This window comes from Homo sapiens, chromosome 11, assembly GCF_000001405.40.
Source record: "Homo sapiens chromosome 11, GRCh38.p14 Primary Assembly".
NCBI lineage: Eukaryota > Metazoa > Chordata > Mammalia > Primates > Hominidae > Homo > Homo sapiens.
The window spans coordinates 494,510-508,975 of record NC_000011.10 but is presented as its reverse complement, the minus strand read 5'-3'; the positions used below and the strand labels follow the sequence as shown (position 1 = coordinate 508,975).

The 14,466-nt window shown below is 60.5% G+C and overlaps 2 protein-coding genes across 15 annotated transcripts in view, besides 2 other annotated features; one reads left to right on the top strand and one right to left on the bottom strand.

Moving 5' to 3' along the window:
• Positions 1-2,514, bottom strand: part of LRRC56 (leucine rich repeat containing 56) — a 48,451-nt gene extending 45,937 nt beyond the window's left edge. The window contains exon 1 of the mRNA XM_047426336.1: positions 1,710-2,514. The gene's annotated coding sequence lies outside the window, so the exon portion shown is untranslated. The remainder of the gene's footprint in view (positions 1-1,709) is intronic.
• Positions 1,734-14,461, top strand: RNH1 (ribonuclease/angiogenin inhibitor 1). 14 transcript variants are annotated; one of them, NM_203386.3, is made up of 11 exons: positions 1,734-1,863; positions 3,980-4,152; positions 6,795-6,914; positions 8,322-8,492; positions 8,977-9,147; positions 9,791-9,961; positions 10,043-10,213; positions 10,349-10,519; positions 10,835-11,005; positions 13,923-14,093; positions 14,198-14,461. In NM_203386.3, exons 3-11 carry the CDS (start codon positions 6,814-6,816, stop codon positions 14,283-14,285), a joined length of 1,386 nt encoding a protein of 461 aa, NP_976320.1. In that variant the 5' UTR covers positions 1,734-1,863; positions 3,980-4,152; positions 6,795-6,813; the 3' UTR covers positions 14,286-14,461. The 14 variants fall into 14 exon arrangements, with proteins under 14 accessions (NP_976320.1, NP_976321.1, XP_011518562.1 ...); NM_203387.3 differs by having other exon boundaries at positions 6,727-6,914; XM_011520260.3 differs by having other exon boundaries at positions 3,975-4,152.
• Positions 2,296-2,465: an enhancer, noted in NCBI's record as "experimental_21531 CRE fragment used in MPRA reporter constructs". NCBI's record gives its function as "activates a minimal promoter by MPRAs in K562 erythroleukemia cells, with activity observed for both the introgressed and non-introgressed 11:506596 or rs61877760 variant alleles {active_cell/tissue: K562}" and the evidence as "EXISTENCE:reporter gene assay evidence [ECO:0000049][PMID:34662402]".
• Position 2,380: a transcriptional cis regulatory region, noted in NCBI's record as "Neanderthal adaptively introgressed variant 11:506596 (GRCh37/hg19 assembly coordinates) or rs61877760 in the experimental_21531 CRE". NCBI's record gives its function as "modulates activity of the experimental_21531 enhancer by MPRAs in K562 erythroleukemia cells {active_cell/tissue: K562}" and the evidence as "EXISTENCE:reporter gene assay evidence [ECO:0000049][PMID:34662402]".
• Positions 14,462-14,466: the final 5 nt, after the last annotated feature.

Here is a 14,466-nt window from a genome sequence, read left to right as displayed (position 1 = left end):
CCTCCTGGGTTCAAGTGGTTCTCCTGCCTCAGCCTCCTGAGTAGCTGGGATTACAGGCATGCACCACCATGCCTGGCTAAGTTTTTGTAATTTTAGTAGAGATGGGGTTTCATCATCTTGGCCAGGCTGGTCTTGAACTCCTGACCTCAGGTGATCTGCCTGCCTTGGCCTCCCAAAGTGTTGGAATTACAGGTGTGAGCCACCGCGCCCAGCCAGAGTTTCATCTTGTTGCCCGAACTGGAGTGCAATGGTGTGGTCTAGGCTCGCTGCAACCTCTGCTTCCCGTGTTCAAGCGATTCTCCTGCCTCAGCCTCCCAAGTAGCTGGAATTACAGGTGCCCACCACCATGCCTGGCTAATTTTTGTATTTTTAGTAGAGATGGGGTTTCACCACGTTGGCCAGGCTGGTCTTGAACTCCTGACCTCAGGTGATCCACCCTTCTCGGTCTCCCAAAGTGTTGGGGTTACAGGTGTGAGCCACCACGCCCGGCCAGAACCACCTTCTTTAAAGATGATCAGGCCGGGTGTAGTGGCTTATGCCAGTAATTCCAGCGATATGGGAGGCTGAAGCAGGAGGATCACTTGAGCCCAATTCAAGACCAGGCTGGGCAACACAGGGAGACCTCTTCTCTACATAAAATACAACAATTAGCCAGGCGTGCTGGCGCCTGTGGTACCAGCTACTTGGGAGGCTGAGGCGGGAGGATCACTGGAGTCCGGGAGGTGGAGGCTGCAGCGAGCTGGGATCGCGCCACTGCAGTACAGCCTAAGCAGTGGAGTGAGACCCTGTCTCGAAAACAAATACCTAATAAAGGCAGTCAGAGGAGAGGTTTAGCAAATTGCTAAAGAACAAATCTGAGATACCGTTAGTTTCCTTACTTGCAATCTTCATCTGCCAAAATGTCAATTCTGTGAATTGCGGACTAGTCAAAAACTTAAAGAAAACCCACTTTTGTGGAGGTGGGGTCGCTTTGCGTTTCCCAGGCTGGTCTGGAACTCGGCCTGCGCCCCTCAGTGCCAGGGCTCCAGGCGACGCTCGGGTGTCGGCAGCAGAGTGGACGCAGGAGCAGCTCGGACCGCGCTCAGAACACTCGGGACGAGGCCGCGGCTCCGCAGGCCTTGCGGGCTGGGGTCCCACGAAACAAAGGCGGCAGCCAGTGGCCAGGACGGGCAGCGTGGTTCACGGGGCCGTGGCTCCCTCGGGGGTCGCGAGCTCGGCGCAAACGAGCCCCTCTACCAAGGTCGCCTAGAGTCGCGACCCCGACATGCGGAGCCGCCCCAGGGGGGTTTCTCCCGGGTCCCTCCTGTCCCGAGGCGGCCGCTTTCTCCGGGGGCCGCGCCCCGCGCCCCAGCAAGGCCCGACCCGCGCCTGCGATTCCGCCCCCAAGGCGCTGCCGCACCGGGCCCCGGCCTCTTCCTCCGAGGATTCTCAGGAATTGCTGAGACTTGCGTGCCAGTGCGAGGCCCACAACACGCACACGCGCCCGCGCCCGCCAGACCCCGCCCCCGGCACCAAGCCCCGCCTACTGGGGGAGACCACGCCCCCAAGCGAGACCTCCCTCACCGAGCCACGCCCCACCAGGCCCCGCCGCTGCGCCAAGACTGTGCTTAGCCGAGCCCCGCCCGCCGGGCCCCGCCCCGACCCCGAGACTACTCCCGCCAGGCCCCGCCCCCGCGCCGAGCCCCGCCCAGTAGTCCCCGCCCACGCACCTGACCACGCCCACGAGCCGGCTCGAACACGCCCGCGCCGCTGACTGGCGGGTGGGGTTGTCGACACGTTCAACCCGTTCTGCTGGCTCGAGAACGAAGTAGGCCGTCTCGCTCTGGGTCTCCAGGCCCGCGACCGTCCGCCAGTCGTCCCGAGGTCAGTAGCTCCAGCGGTGCGTCAGCGTCTAGCCAGGCCTCGCCCACGCCGGCCTTGGTCGGGCTTCTTGTAGACGCGGGCCTGGCGCTATTGAGGCCGTTGCTGCGCGGGCGAGTGGCGCGCTCCCGTGGCGGGGCGGGGTCGGGCGGGGCAGGGGTCCGGGGCTATCGAGGCGGGGCCGAGGTTGCGCTGGGCAGCTGCGCCGCCGGGCGGACGTGGCGCGCCTTGAGGACGTCATCGCGGTGCACGCTCCCCTTTGGGGCTTGCCGGAAGTCCTTGCCCGGGGCGCGGGGCTGCGCCTGCGTGGTTCGTCCTCACGTGGCCGTCAAGCCCTCTAGTGCCTTAGATTCCAGCGAGCTACGCAAGCAATCCTGGCCCAGCCGAGCTTGCTTCCCCAAATCCCGTAATCCTTGACCTTATTCCCCCAAAGAAGCGGCCTCCCGGGAAGGAGCGCCCTGGCGGAGAAGACTCGAACGGCTCCCACAGCCGGGCGTTGGGGGAAAGGTGGGCGGTCTTGGTCGTGCGAGGTCGGGGAGGGAGGGTCCTCCGCTCTCCATTGCGGAGCTTCGCTCCGGGACCACCGGGGGACCGGACGCCGGGCCGCGAAGCTGCCGCCTGGGGCTGCGGGGAGGAGAGCAACATAACTGGAATGGCACTTAGGGGCCGGTGTCAGGGTTGTCACCGGGGTTGGCGGAAATGACGAAGGGGCCCCAGGCACGTCGTGTTACTGGGCGAGGTTCCAGCCAAGGTGCCCACGCGCCTTGGGGGAAACCAGAGGACTTCTGCACCGTTTCCCGAGGACAGTTTGGCAGTGTTTCAGAAGGGCCTTAGAACCAGGCAGGCCCCCTTCTAGGATGGTGGAAAGCCTAAAGATCTGAAAACGGTCTCAAGTGTCGTCTTAGCGATTGGCTGACTAAACCGAATGCAAGCCGGAGACTGCACACGATGTTGCCGTTAACAGTTACACTGGGCCGGGCAGTCAGAGGCAGGCGGATCACCTGAGGTCAGGAGTTCGAGAACAGCCTGGCCAACATGGTGAAAACCCGTCTCTACTAAAAATACAAAATTAGCCGGGCGTGGTGGCAGGCGCCTATAATCCCAGCTACTTGGGAGGTTGAGGTAGGAGAATGGCTTGAACTCAGGAGGCGGAGGTTGCGGTGAGCCGAGATCGTGCCACTGCACTCCAGCCGGCTGACAAGAGCGAAACTCCTTCTCAAAAAAAAAAAAAAAAAAAAAAAGTTACATTAGGCTGGGTGCGCTGCAGCCTGTAATCCCAGCACTTTGGGAGGCCGAGGCGGGCGGATCTCTTGAGCCCAGGAGTTTGCGACCAACATACTGAGTTTGGCCAAAATAGTGAGACCCCCGTCTCTACAAAAGATAGAAAAAATTAGCCAGTTGCGGTAGTGAACGCTTGTAGTCCCAGCTACTTGGGACGCTGAGGGAGGAGGAGCACTTGAGCCCTGGAAGAGGAGGCTGCAGTGAGCTATTTTCTCATCCCTGCTATAACGAATTTGTCACAGGCTGTTTTATAGGCCTGGAGCTCAGAAGCCCGAAGTGAGTTTTAGGAGGTTAAAATCAAGGTGTTGGCAAGGGTAGTTCCTTCTGGAGTTTCCCAAGGAGAATCTGCTTCTTTTCCTCTTCCAACTTCTAGAGGCCACCTTCTTCCATCTTCAAAACCTACTGTCTCTGCATAAGAACTCTCATGATTATATGCCGGCCGCCCAGACACCCCAGGGTAGCCTTCACATCTCAATATTCTTAATATTTGCAAAGTCCCTTTTGCCACTTAAGGTAACACCACAGGTTTGGAGATTAGGAGGTGGACATCTTTCAGGGCCATTCTTATTTTAAAAAATGTACTGTCGATAAGAATAGTTAAAATGTAAAATATTTGAAGGGATTTATTCTGAATCGAATATGAGTGACCGCGGCCGGTGACACAGCCCTCAGGGGATCCTGGGAACATGTGCCCAAGGTGGTTGGGGCAGTTTGGTTTTACATGTTTTAGAGAGACATGAGGCATTAATGAAATACATTTAAGATATCCATTGGTTTGGTCCAGAAAGGCGGGACCAAACAAAAAAAAAAAGATTTTGAACATGCTTCCCGAGCTCAGGCATGAAGAACTCTTGACTGACAGAAACGGAGGGTGTGTCCAAAGTTTTGAGGACGGCCGAGCGGCGCTCCAAAACCCGTCCTCACAGCCTCGCCCCGTTCGCCTCAGCTACAACAAATCATCGTCAACCTGTTCCACCTTCTCCAGTCTGGTAGCAAAAAGGGGTGTCTCAGGTTTGCTTTATTTTATTGTTTGGGCAATTCCTGGAATCCGGCCTGCTTGTGGGAGGAGGCAGGGGCCGGTCCCTCGAGGGTGGTGGGAGCTGCCAGAGCTGGAGGGATGGTCTGGGGGAAGGCGGCTGTACGGTGGAAAGGCTGGTTGGGGCCAGAGTGGGAAACGGGATGCGGACGTCAGGCTTCACCCCCGACCCAGGGGGGAGTGGGAAAGCTGGGGTAGTAGCTGGGACGAGGCCCGGGGGCTGAGCCCAGAGGGTCGAGTGGGCGACGACTAGCGGGCGCGGCCCCCAGGGTGGACTCCCCGCCAGCCCCGGCCTGGAGGCTCCGCCCGCCCCCGCCTGGGCGGAAGGAACGCGGAGCGGCTCTGGCCTTGGGTCTGCGGCGGCGGCGTCGGGTGAGCGTCCCGGGCGGAGCGGGCGCGGGCGGGGGCAGAGAGGCAGGGGAGACCCCCTTCGTGTTTTTGTGAGGTTTCCTCCCAGCCCTTTAGTCTGCAGCAGGGTGTCCAGAACTAGCAGGTTCGAGGGACTCGACGCGGGCGCGGGCGGGGGTCCCAGGGACCGGGAACTTTTGCGCGTCGCCTGAGCGTGGCCCGTGTCTCCCTAGAGGGTGGCCCCGCGCCCCCGTCACGTCGGAACATAAGGACCTGAATTGGCCTCCAGACGGCCCCTCCCATGTGGCTCCCCAGGGTGGGGCCCAGGCCTTGGGTGCTGCGGAGACCTCCCTCCGTAAGGTTGAGAAAGTCTGGTCTCCGGATAAGGGACCGTTAGGGCCTCTGTTCAGATCCCTGCCTCAACCAAAGCAGGCTGCCAGCTGGTGGTAGTGGGTTCCTGAATGTGCTTTTAGCTTTGGCTGTGTAGGGAGCCAGGGACTTCTCCAGTCACAGAGAAGGGCGTTTACTCCCGCATTTTCATGGGGTCCTCAGTGGGATCCGTGACCCACAGAGATTCAGAAGGGCCTTTCTGGGATACAACAGGGTCTGGCCAAGCCTGAGGGGTAGGGACGGGGCTACTCCCGCAGCGCTAGTTGCAGATGGTCACGGGAGCACTGGCCACCCTGAGCTCCCACCAAGCTTTCCCAGGAGGAGGACACCCTGGGGCCACCTTTCATCTGGCTGCAGAGGACACAGGAGTGTCAGGCTGGATTTGGGGAGCGTGTGCACCCTGGGCAGCCCCCTGAGGCTCTCCTTCCACCCGCCCTCCCGCCCACAGTGCCTCCTGATGACTAGATTCTGGAGTCAGAATTTGGGTGACCACACCCTGGTCGGTTTTGCTCACGTGCTTCGGGTCGGTTGGATTCAGTTCCTCCATGTGGGGCCGTGGGATGTCACCACCCTTTGCCACTGTCCTTGCAGGCCGGGCGCCCAGGCGTGTGGACCCGAGCCCAGCCTTGCGTCTTTCCTCCCAGTTGGTACCAGGGGCCTCTTGCCTCCACTCATGCAGAGTGGACCAGCCGCCTCTGAAGCAGCCCCGGGGAGAGGAGTGCCAGGCACACAGACTCAGGAAGCTGGGGGTGTCAGGGCACCAGGAGCCTCTCAAGCGGTCCTGTTGGCCGTCTTTCTGAAGGGCAGCTGGGGTTGCATCATTTCCCCAAGTGGATCCTGCCAACTTTCTGGGGCTTCTGGATGAGAGCCCTCTCCCCACCCCACCCACCCCTCCCCGCATTGTGGCATCAGTGCTGCTGCTTCCAGGGAGCCTTCCTGGCCATCCAAGCCTCCTCTCCAGGTTCCTGCCCTGCTGTAGTCCCCAGGCCAGTGCTTGGCAGGTGCTCAGGGAATGTATCCACCAACCAAGGTTTGGGGTGGCTGTCTCTGCCTGACCACTTTCCCCAGGCCCCTGGCGGGTACCTGAGCTGTGCTCTCAGGGCCTCAGGAACCTCCTTCCATATTCAGGGCCTGTGCCTGGGGAGGCTTCAGGGTGTAGCAGCTGTGCCCATCCCAGGCTGACCCACCCAGCTTGCCTGGTAGCCCAGCCTCTGGGCTAGTGTGCCGTGGGGCAGGGGATGTGCTGTAGCCTGGTGCAGAGTCCCCAACCCCAGAAGGGGGCCATGGAAGCTGACACCCCAAGTGGCCGCCCCCCTGCTCTGTCTTGCTTCGGACACTGTGGCCGGGTCCAGGATCCTGGCATCCTGGGAGGTCTCTGGCTTTGTGGGCAGCCTGCCTGGCCCGCACAGTCTGCCTGTCCTGAGGGTGAGACACAGGTCAAGCCCACAGACCCCCTTGCTCCCCTGCTGGGGCCTCCAGGCTCACAGACCACCCCACCCTACCCTGTCCTTGCCCAAGCAAATGAGAGGCAGGGGCTTCCCGGGCTGCTGCTGTCCCGCCCTCTGTGGGGCAGGAGGAGGTGCCCACAGAGGCTGGGTGGTGATAGCCAGGAGATGGGCTGGCATCTGCATTACCCAAGCTCTGCTGCCCATGGTGGCCTTTCTGGGGGTGGGTGCTGGTCCCTGCCCCCTGCCCCACCCCTGATGTCTGCTCCAGAGACAAAGGTGGGGAGGGTGCTGAAGAGGAAGTGTTTGCCCAGGGAGAGGCTGCGGCTCCTCCTGAAACATCAGCCCTGTGGGTCCTGTTTGCAGAATCTCCGGCCTGTGAAACTGTGAGGGGATTCGGCCAAGACGTCCTCTTCCCTCTGCCTCCCACCCAGGCCACTCTTCACCTCCACCATGAGCCTGGACATCCAGAGCCTGGACATCCAGTGTGAGGAGCTGAGCGACGCTAGATGGGCCGAGCTCCTCCCTCTGCTCCAGCAGTGCCAAGTGGTCAGGTACGCTTGCTCTCGGGGTGGCCTTGGGGTGCTGGTGGGGCAGGCTGGCGGGTGGCGGCTCCCTCTGAAGGGTGCATTGCTCTGGAACGCCTTGTTTGTGGACATGAAGTATGAATTCTGTGCAGCTACCACGTGCATGAGATGTGATTCTTGTGTTTCTTTTTGACAATTTAGGAATGTAAAACCCATTCCAGGCTCATGCAGCATGGGCTGAGGTGGGCGGGCCGAGGTGGGCGGCCACTGGCCAGTGGGTCTCTGGCTCCGGTGTCTCAGCTCCTCTCCCTCCCTTGGAGACACGAGGGCAGGACACAGCTTGGGTCCCCTCCGTGAGCCTCCATGGGGCGCTGCTTGTCCCTGCCAAGCTGGGGGCTGGGAGTCCTCGGCCCTCGAGGTCCTCACAAACCCAGCAGCTTCACAAGCAGGACACGAGTGCCTGGGTGGGCCGCATCTTTTCTCTTTTTACCTGGTGATTTCAAGTAGTGTCAGGTTTGCGGAGGAGTTACGAGGACCGGACGGGGCTCCCTGGTGAGGTGGTCCTGTGTACCTGCGGACGCTAGCTCTGGCCCAGCACCTCCAGGCAGGGTCTGCTTTTCCGCCCTGCCCTTTTCGTCTTCCTCACTGGTCCAGGATTGCGTGGCCCTCAGCCCTCTGTCTCCTTAGCCCTCTCCCGTCTGTGACTGTCCCCTCGTCTCTCTGGGTTCTTGGTGGTCTGAGGGTCTGGCCAGGCTCCTGCAGGACGTCCTCTGTTGGGGCTTGTCTGGTGGTTTCTTGTGGTTGAAGTCCTACAGTTTTGGCAGGAATGCAGGGAGATGCCGTGGGGCCTGCCAGGAGCGTCCTGTCACAGGCGCCGTCTGCCACCCTCTCCACTGTGACGCCACTGCCTTTCCTCCTGTGACTGATCAGTGCCTTCGAGAGATACTTTAAATTCTTTTTATTTTTAGAGACAGGGCATTGCTCTGTCACCCAGGCTGGAGTGGCTCCCTCATGGCTTATGCGGCCTCAACCTCCTGGGCTCAAGTGATCCTCCTGCCTCAGCCTCCCGAGTAGCTGGGATTATGGGCATGCGCCACCACGCCCGGCTACTTTTGTATTTTTAGTAAAGACGGGGTTTCTCCATGTTGGTCAGGTTGGTCTTGAACTCCCGACCTCAGGTGATCTGCCTGCCTCGGCCTCCCAAAGTGCTGGGATTACAGGCGTGAGCCACCGCGCCTGGCCACGTGCGAGCATCTTAAACAAAACTTTCATGGAACAGTTCCTCCTTTTTGTTTCATTTCTGAAATGTCTTGTGTGACTTGCCTTGCTGTCTTCTGGGCCCACTGATAGGTTGTAACCTGCACGTGGGGTGGTGGTGGAGGCTGAGGCCAGTGCTGTCTGCGTGGTCCACATGACCCTGGGGTCTGCTCACAGGCTGGACGACTGTGGCCTCACGGAAGCACGGTGCAAGGACATCAGCTCTGCACTTCGAGTCAACCCTGCACTGGCAGAGCTCAACCTGCGCAGCAACGAGCTGGGCGATGTCGGCGTGCATTGCGTGCTCCAGGGCCTGCAGACCCCCTCCTGCAAGATCCAGAAGCTGAGGTGAGGCGGGGCCTGGCACTGCCTCTGGCCTGGTGCAGTCTGCTTTGGTAGCCCGGCAGCAGGGGACAGAGCCGCCAGGGGCGCGTGGGCAGCTGCAGGTGGACAGGCAGTGGCAGCAGACATTTCCAACATCAGCCAGAGGCACACAGGCCTGGCGGTCTCACAGCGGGGGGGACAGGGCCCTTCCTGCCTTATCCCAGCCCCCGCACCCAAGATCTGGCCCTGCCCGCCATCCCTAGCCTTCCAGCATCACCACAGACCCCCACTGAAAGGTGTGTCTGCAGACAAGGTTTCCCTGGGTCGAGCCACATGCGTGCCCTCCTTCACTCGGCCTGGAGACCCCAGACCCCAGAGCCCCGTCCAGGGAAGGAGCAGGTATAGACCTGCCGCCTGAAGAGTGCTGCTCCGGGCTCTGGGCTCTGGCAGGCGAAGGGCGTGGCAGCTTGGCTCAGGGGAGCCCTGCTGACAGCCAGGTATGCTCCAGCCTCCAGAACTGCTGCCTGACGGGGGCCGGCTGCGGGGTCCTGTCCAGCACACTACGCACCCTGCCCACCCTGCAGGAGCTGCACCTCAGCGACAACCTCTTGGGGGATGCGGGCCTGCAGCTGCTCTGCGAAGGACTCCTGGACCCCCAGTGCCGCCTGGAAAAGCTGCAGTGAGTTTGTGTCCTGCCCCAGGGCCCATGCTGGCCGCTGCCTGTCCCCCAGCCAGCCCCCTACATAGAACATCGCCTGCCAGGAGCCGTGAGGAGGGGACTCAGGTCACAGGGGCCTTGTGGTGCTCTCCTTTCCCCATGATGCTGGGTCTGGGGCCTTGTGGTGCTCTCCTCTCCCCATGATGCTGGGGCTGGGGGGATCTGTCATCACCCTCCCTCCCCATCCAGTTGTCCTTTGCAAGGCACAGCTGCCCCAGGACCCGACGGTGGGAACAGATGCCTGGCCGTGAGTCAGGTTCCACTCACCGCCTCAGTGTGTGTGGGGGACCCGGCCATTGTGAGTTGACCACAGCCTGGGACGTGCAGGTGGCCCTGCCCTCCAGAGGCTGGTTTCTTTCTCCCGGGCCTGGTTGGGCCCCAAAGTCTGAGGTCCGGGAGGGGGTGAGGGGTTTCCAGAAGGAATGCCGGTGTCCACAGAGGCCCGGGCCTCTGGATGAGTCTGTGGGGGTCCCTCAGCACTGACACCTGATGCCCAGGCAGAAGACTGAGGGGAGATGAGACACCAGCACACCCCGTGCTCCCTGGTATCACACCCTTGGCTGGTGCACATTCCTGTGTGGTGCTGAGCTCTGCTGTCCCCCAGGCTGGAGTATTGCAGCCTCTCGGCTGCCAGCTGCGAGCCCCTGGCCTCCGTGCTCAGGGCCAAGCCGGACTTCAAGGAGCTCACGGTTAGCAACAACGACATCAATGAGGCTGGCGTCCGTGTGCTGTGCCAGGGCCTGAAGGACTCCCCCTGCCAGCTGGAGGCGCTCAAGTAGGCACTGGGCCTTGGGGGGGTGCGGGGTGTGGGCTAGGGGGGGTCCCGTGCTGCCTCACGTGTGACCCGTGTCCCCAGGCTGGAGAGCTGCGGTGTGACATCAGACAACTGCCGGGACCTGTGCGGCATTGTGGCCTCCAAGGCCTCGCTGCGGGAGCTGGCCCTGGGCAGCAACAAGCTGGGTGATGTGGGCATGGCGGAGCTGTGCCCAGGGCTGCTCCACCCCAGCTCCAGGCTCAGGACCCTGTGGTGAGTCATCTCCGCGAGGCCTCCTTCCCGGAGGGTCGGGCGGCGGGCCGTCCTCAGAGCTCTCCCCCGCCCCTGGGCTCATCTCAGGCCATGAGACGGTGCTGAGGAAAGTCTGTGGTGGTCCATGTCCTGCAGGATCTGGGAGTGTGGCATCACTGCCAAGGGCTGCGGGGATCTGTGCCGTGTCCTCAGGGCCAAGGAGAGCCTGAAGGAGCTCAGCCTGGCCGGCAACGAGCTGGGGGATGAGGGTGCCCGACTGCTGTGTGAGACCCTGCTGGAACCTGGCTGCCAGCTGGAGTCGCTGTGGTGAGTGTGGCTGTCGGGGCAGGGCCCTGTCGCCCAAGAGAGGGCCAGGGTGACCGAGGAGACCAGGGGAGGAGTGAGCGACTCCAGGGAAGCTGCTGGGCTCAGCTCCGACCTTCAGAATGCATAGGCCAGGGAGCAGCCTGTGGTTTGATGGGAACAGTGCTTGGGGCCAAGGACCAGGTGTAGGTGCCCACTTGCTGGGAGGCTGTCAGATGTTTTTGCTCAGGTCCACGTGGGGCCTTCAGGGGAAGGGCCAGTCGCAGCTGTGGGCCAGCCTGGGCCCCTGCCAGGCGTCAGTCCTGTCTGTGTCCACAGGGTGAAGTCCTGCAGCTTCACAGCCGCCTGCTGCTCCCACTTCAGCTCAGTGCTGGCCCAGAACAGGTTTCTCCTGGAGCTACAGATAAGCAACAACAGGCTGGAGGATGCGGGCGTGCGGGAGCTGTGCCAGGGCCTGGGCCAGCCTGGCTCTGTGCTGCGGGTGCTCTGGTGAGTGTGTGAGGGACACGAGTATGCACATTTGGGAGATCATATGCCCGTGTGTGCACACAAGGGCGAGAGTGCACGAGTATCTGTGTGAGCACGAGTGTCCGTGTGTATGTGAGCACACATGGGTGAGGCGAGTGTGAGCACGTGTGTGAGCATATGAGTGTGAGCATGGGTGTCCGTGAGCATGTGAGAGTGAGCACGTGTCCGTGTGAGCACGTGAGTGAGCACGAGGGTCCGTGTGTGAGCACATGGGCAAGAATGAGCACGAGTGTCCGTGTGTGAGCACATGGGTGAGCACGTGTGTGTGAGCACATGGGTGAGAGCACGAGTGTCCGTGTGTGAGCACGTGAGAGTGAGCACGAGGGTCAGTGTGTGAGCACATGGGCAAGAATGAGCACGTGTCCGTGTGTGAGCACGTGAGAGTGAGCACGAGGGTCCGTGTGTGAGCACATGGGCAAGAATGAGCACGAGTGTCCGTGTGAGTGTGAGCACATGGGCGAGAGGGAGCACGAGTGTGTGTGAGCACATGGGCGAGAGAGCATGAGTGTCCGTGTGTGAGCACATGGGTGAGAGCACGAGTGTCCGAGTGTGAGCACATGGGTGAGTGAGCATGAGTGTCCGTGTGTGAGCACGTGAGAGTGAGCACGAGGGTCCGTGTGTGAGCACATGGGCAAGAATGAGCACGAGTGTCCGTGTGTGAGCACATGGGCGAGAGTGAGCATGAGTGTCCGTGTGTGAGCACATGGGCGAGAGTACGTGAGCACATGGGTGAGAGTGAGCACGAGTGTCCGTGTGTGAGCACATGGGTGAGAGTGAGCATGAGTGTCCATGTGAGTGTGAGCACATGGGCGAGTGAGCACGTGAGTGTGGCACATGGGCGAGAGTGAGCACGAGTGTCCATGTGAGTGTGAGCACATGGGCGAGAGTGAGGGTGCATGTTCATGTACTGGGAAAGGCGGGCTGGCGGCACCACTCTGGCTTAGTTCTCATTTTAACTCTGAAAGTCAGAGGTCATGTTTCATGAAGCCTGAGAGCTTCACGGAGCTCCAGCCTACCTGGCCACCCTGTGGTCCATCTTCCTGGAAGCCCCGCCCACCTTTCTCCCTTGCGGGAACCCCGCCTGTGTCAGGATGTTTTTCCAGATTTGTTTTCTTTGTTAAAGCACGTTCTTTTGCAGCTTTCTAAGAAAAGGTTTTGCAGGAGGTAATTTTTGGGGTCTTGTGCCCCTGTTCTGTCCTTGGATCATTTAGCCGGGTATAGCATGCACCATTATGCCCGGCTAATTTTATTTTGTTTGTTTTTTTGAGAGAGTCTTGCTCTGTCGCCCAGGCTGGAGTGCAGTGGTGCGATCTTGGCTCACTGCAAGCTCCGCCTCCCAAGTTCATGCCATTCTCCTGTCTCAACCTCCCGAGTAGCTGGGACCACAGGCGCCCGTCACCACACCAGGCTAATTTTTTGTACTTTTAGTAGAGATGGGGTTTCACCGTGTTAGCCAGTATGGTCTTGATATCCTGACCTCGTGATCCGCCTGCCTCGGCCTCCTAAATTGCTGGGATTACAGGCGTGAGCCACCACGCCTGGCCTAATTTTTGTATTTTTAGTAGAGATGGGGTTTCACCATGTTGGGCAGGCTGGTCTTGAACTATTGACCTCAAGTGATGAGCCTGCCTCAGCCTCCCAAAGTGCTGCGATTACAGGCGTGAGCCACTGTGACCTTGTGTGCACGATCTGCTTTTTCTCGTTGGCAGCTTTTCAAGCTCTCTTTGTTCACTGTGTTAGGGGTTCCATGTGCTTGGCCTTGATGGGGGTCTTGGTTCTTTGTGCTGGATACTTGGTTCTACTAAGAAAATATACCTTTGGTGATTTTTTTCTCTCTCCTTTCTTATGTTTCTTTTTTGGTGTGCCCATGAGCCTGTCCTGATGTCTTGTGGAGTGACCCTCTAATTATGTTCTCCAAATTTTCTTTTCGATGTTTTGTTTTATTTTTGGGAGATGTTCTCATTTACCAGCCAGTCTACTGAATTTCCACCCTCAGTGTTTTGTCTTTTGTTTGCTGTTTCCCGTGTGCCTCTCGCCAGGGGCTTTCCGTGGGTGGCTGGTCATCCTGGGCTGGGCACCAGGTGCAGAGTGAGGCCCGGGAGCCCTGGACAGTGAGCCCTGCAGGCCGAGTCATGGCTGCGTTTCTCGAGGGCTTCCTCCTGATGGGGGATTTTCAGTTCCCTGCCAGGGGACACCATCCTGGCTGCCAGGACCTTGTGGGTGTTCCAGATGTGGAGAGGAACCTTGGGTCCTGGTCACTGCAGACTTGTTCCCCCTGAGCCACTCACAGGGTGGGGGTCCTGCAGCTTCCCTGGCCCCCACCTTGGAGAGGTCCAGTGCAACTCCTTGGCCCTGCTGTCCGGCCTGTGGCGGCTCCACCCCGGGAAGTGGGTGTTGGGTCTTCTCTATCCCATCCTCTTTTGTCTGACCCGTTCTCTTGTCTCTCTCTGGAGCCTAAAGTCTGTTGTCCACTCTGTTCTTGTCTTGGTACCCTCCATACCCTCGTTTCCCCACAGCTGCTCCTCAGTCTCTGGCTGGCTTCTCCTTTGAAGCCCACGCAGCCAGACGGTGTCGAGGTGACAAGGGGGTGGGTGTGGCTCTCTGGGTGGACGACATCTCTCTCCTGTCCTTTCTCCTCCCTGCAGAAGATCTCAGGCGAGTGAGGCTGCTTGTGCCTCGCTTGTCTGTGCCTTCCTTGTCCGTGGTGGGGAACCTGCCCAGGGCCACAGGGACGGTGAGCCTTGGGGACGGCCCCACCTGAGGGTCCTGAGTTGCCGAGCACAGGTGTCCGTCGCGCCCCCCAGGCCCAGGCCTGCTCTGCCGGTCAGTGCGGTGCCAGGCACGCCCGGCACCCTGACCCCCGCCCTGCTTCACCCAGGTTGGCCGACTGCGATGTGAGTGACAGCAGCTGCAGCAGCCTCGCCGCAACCCTGTTGGCCAACCACAGCCTGCGTGAGCTGGACCTCAGCAACAACTGCCTGGGGGACGCCGGCATCCTGCAGCTGGTGGAGAGCGTCCGGCAGCCGGGCTGCCTCCTGGAGCAGCTGGTGTATGTGCACGCGCTGGGCGGGTGGTGCGGCCAGGGCTGCCCAGGGAGGAAGGCGGGGGTGGGGGAGGACACGGGCCCATGCCTCCCTTCTGGCCTGTGTGCAGCCTGTACGACATTTACTGGTCTGAGGAGATGGAGGACCGGCTGCAGGCCCTGGAGAAGGACAAGCCATCCCTGAGGGTCATCTCCTGAGGCTCTTCCTGCTGCTGCTCTCCCTGGACGACCGGCCTCGAGGCAACCCTGGGGCCCACCAGCCCCTGCCATGCTCTCACCCTGCATATCCTAGGTTTGAAGAGAAACGCTCAGATCCGCTTATTTCTGCCAGTATATTTTGGACACTTTATAATCATTAAAGCACTTTCTTGGCAGGAGA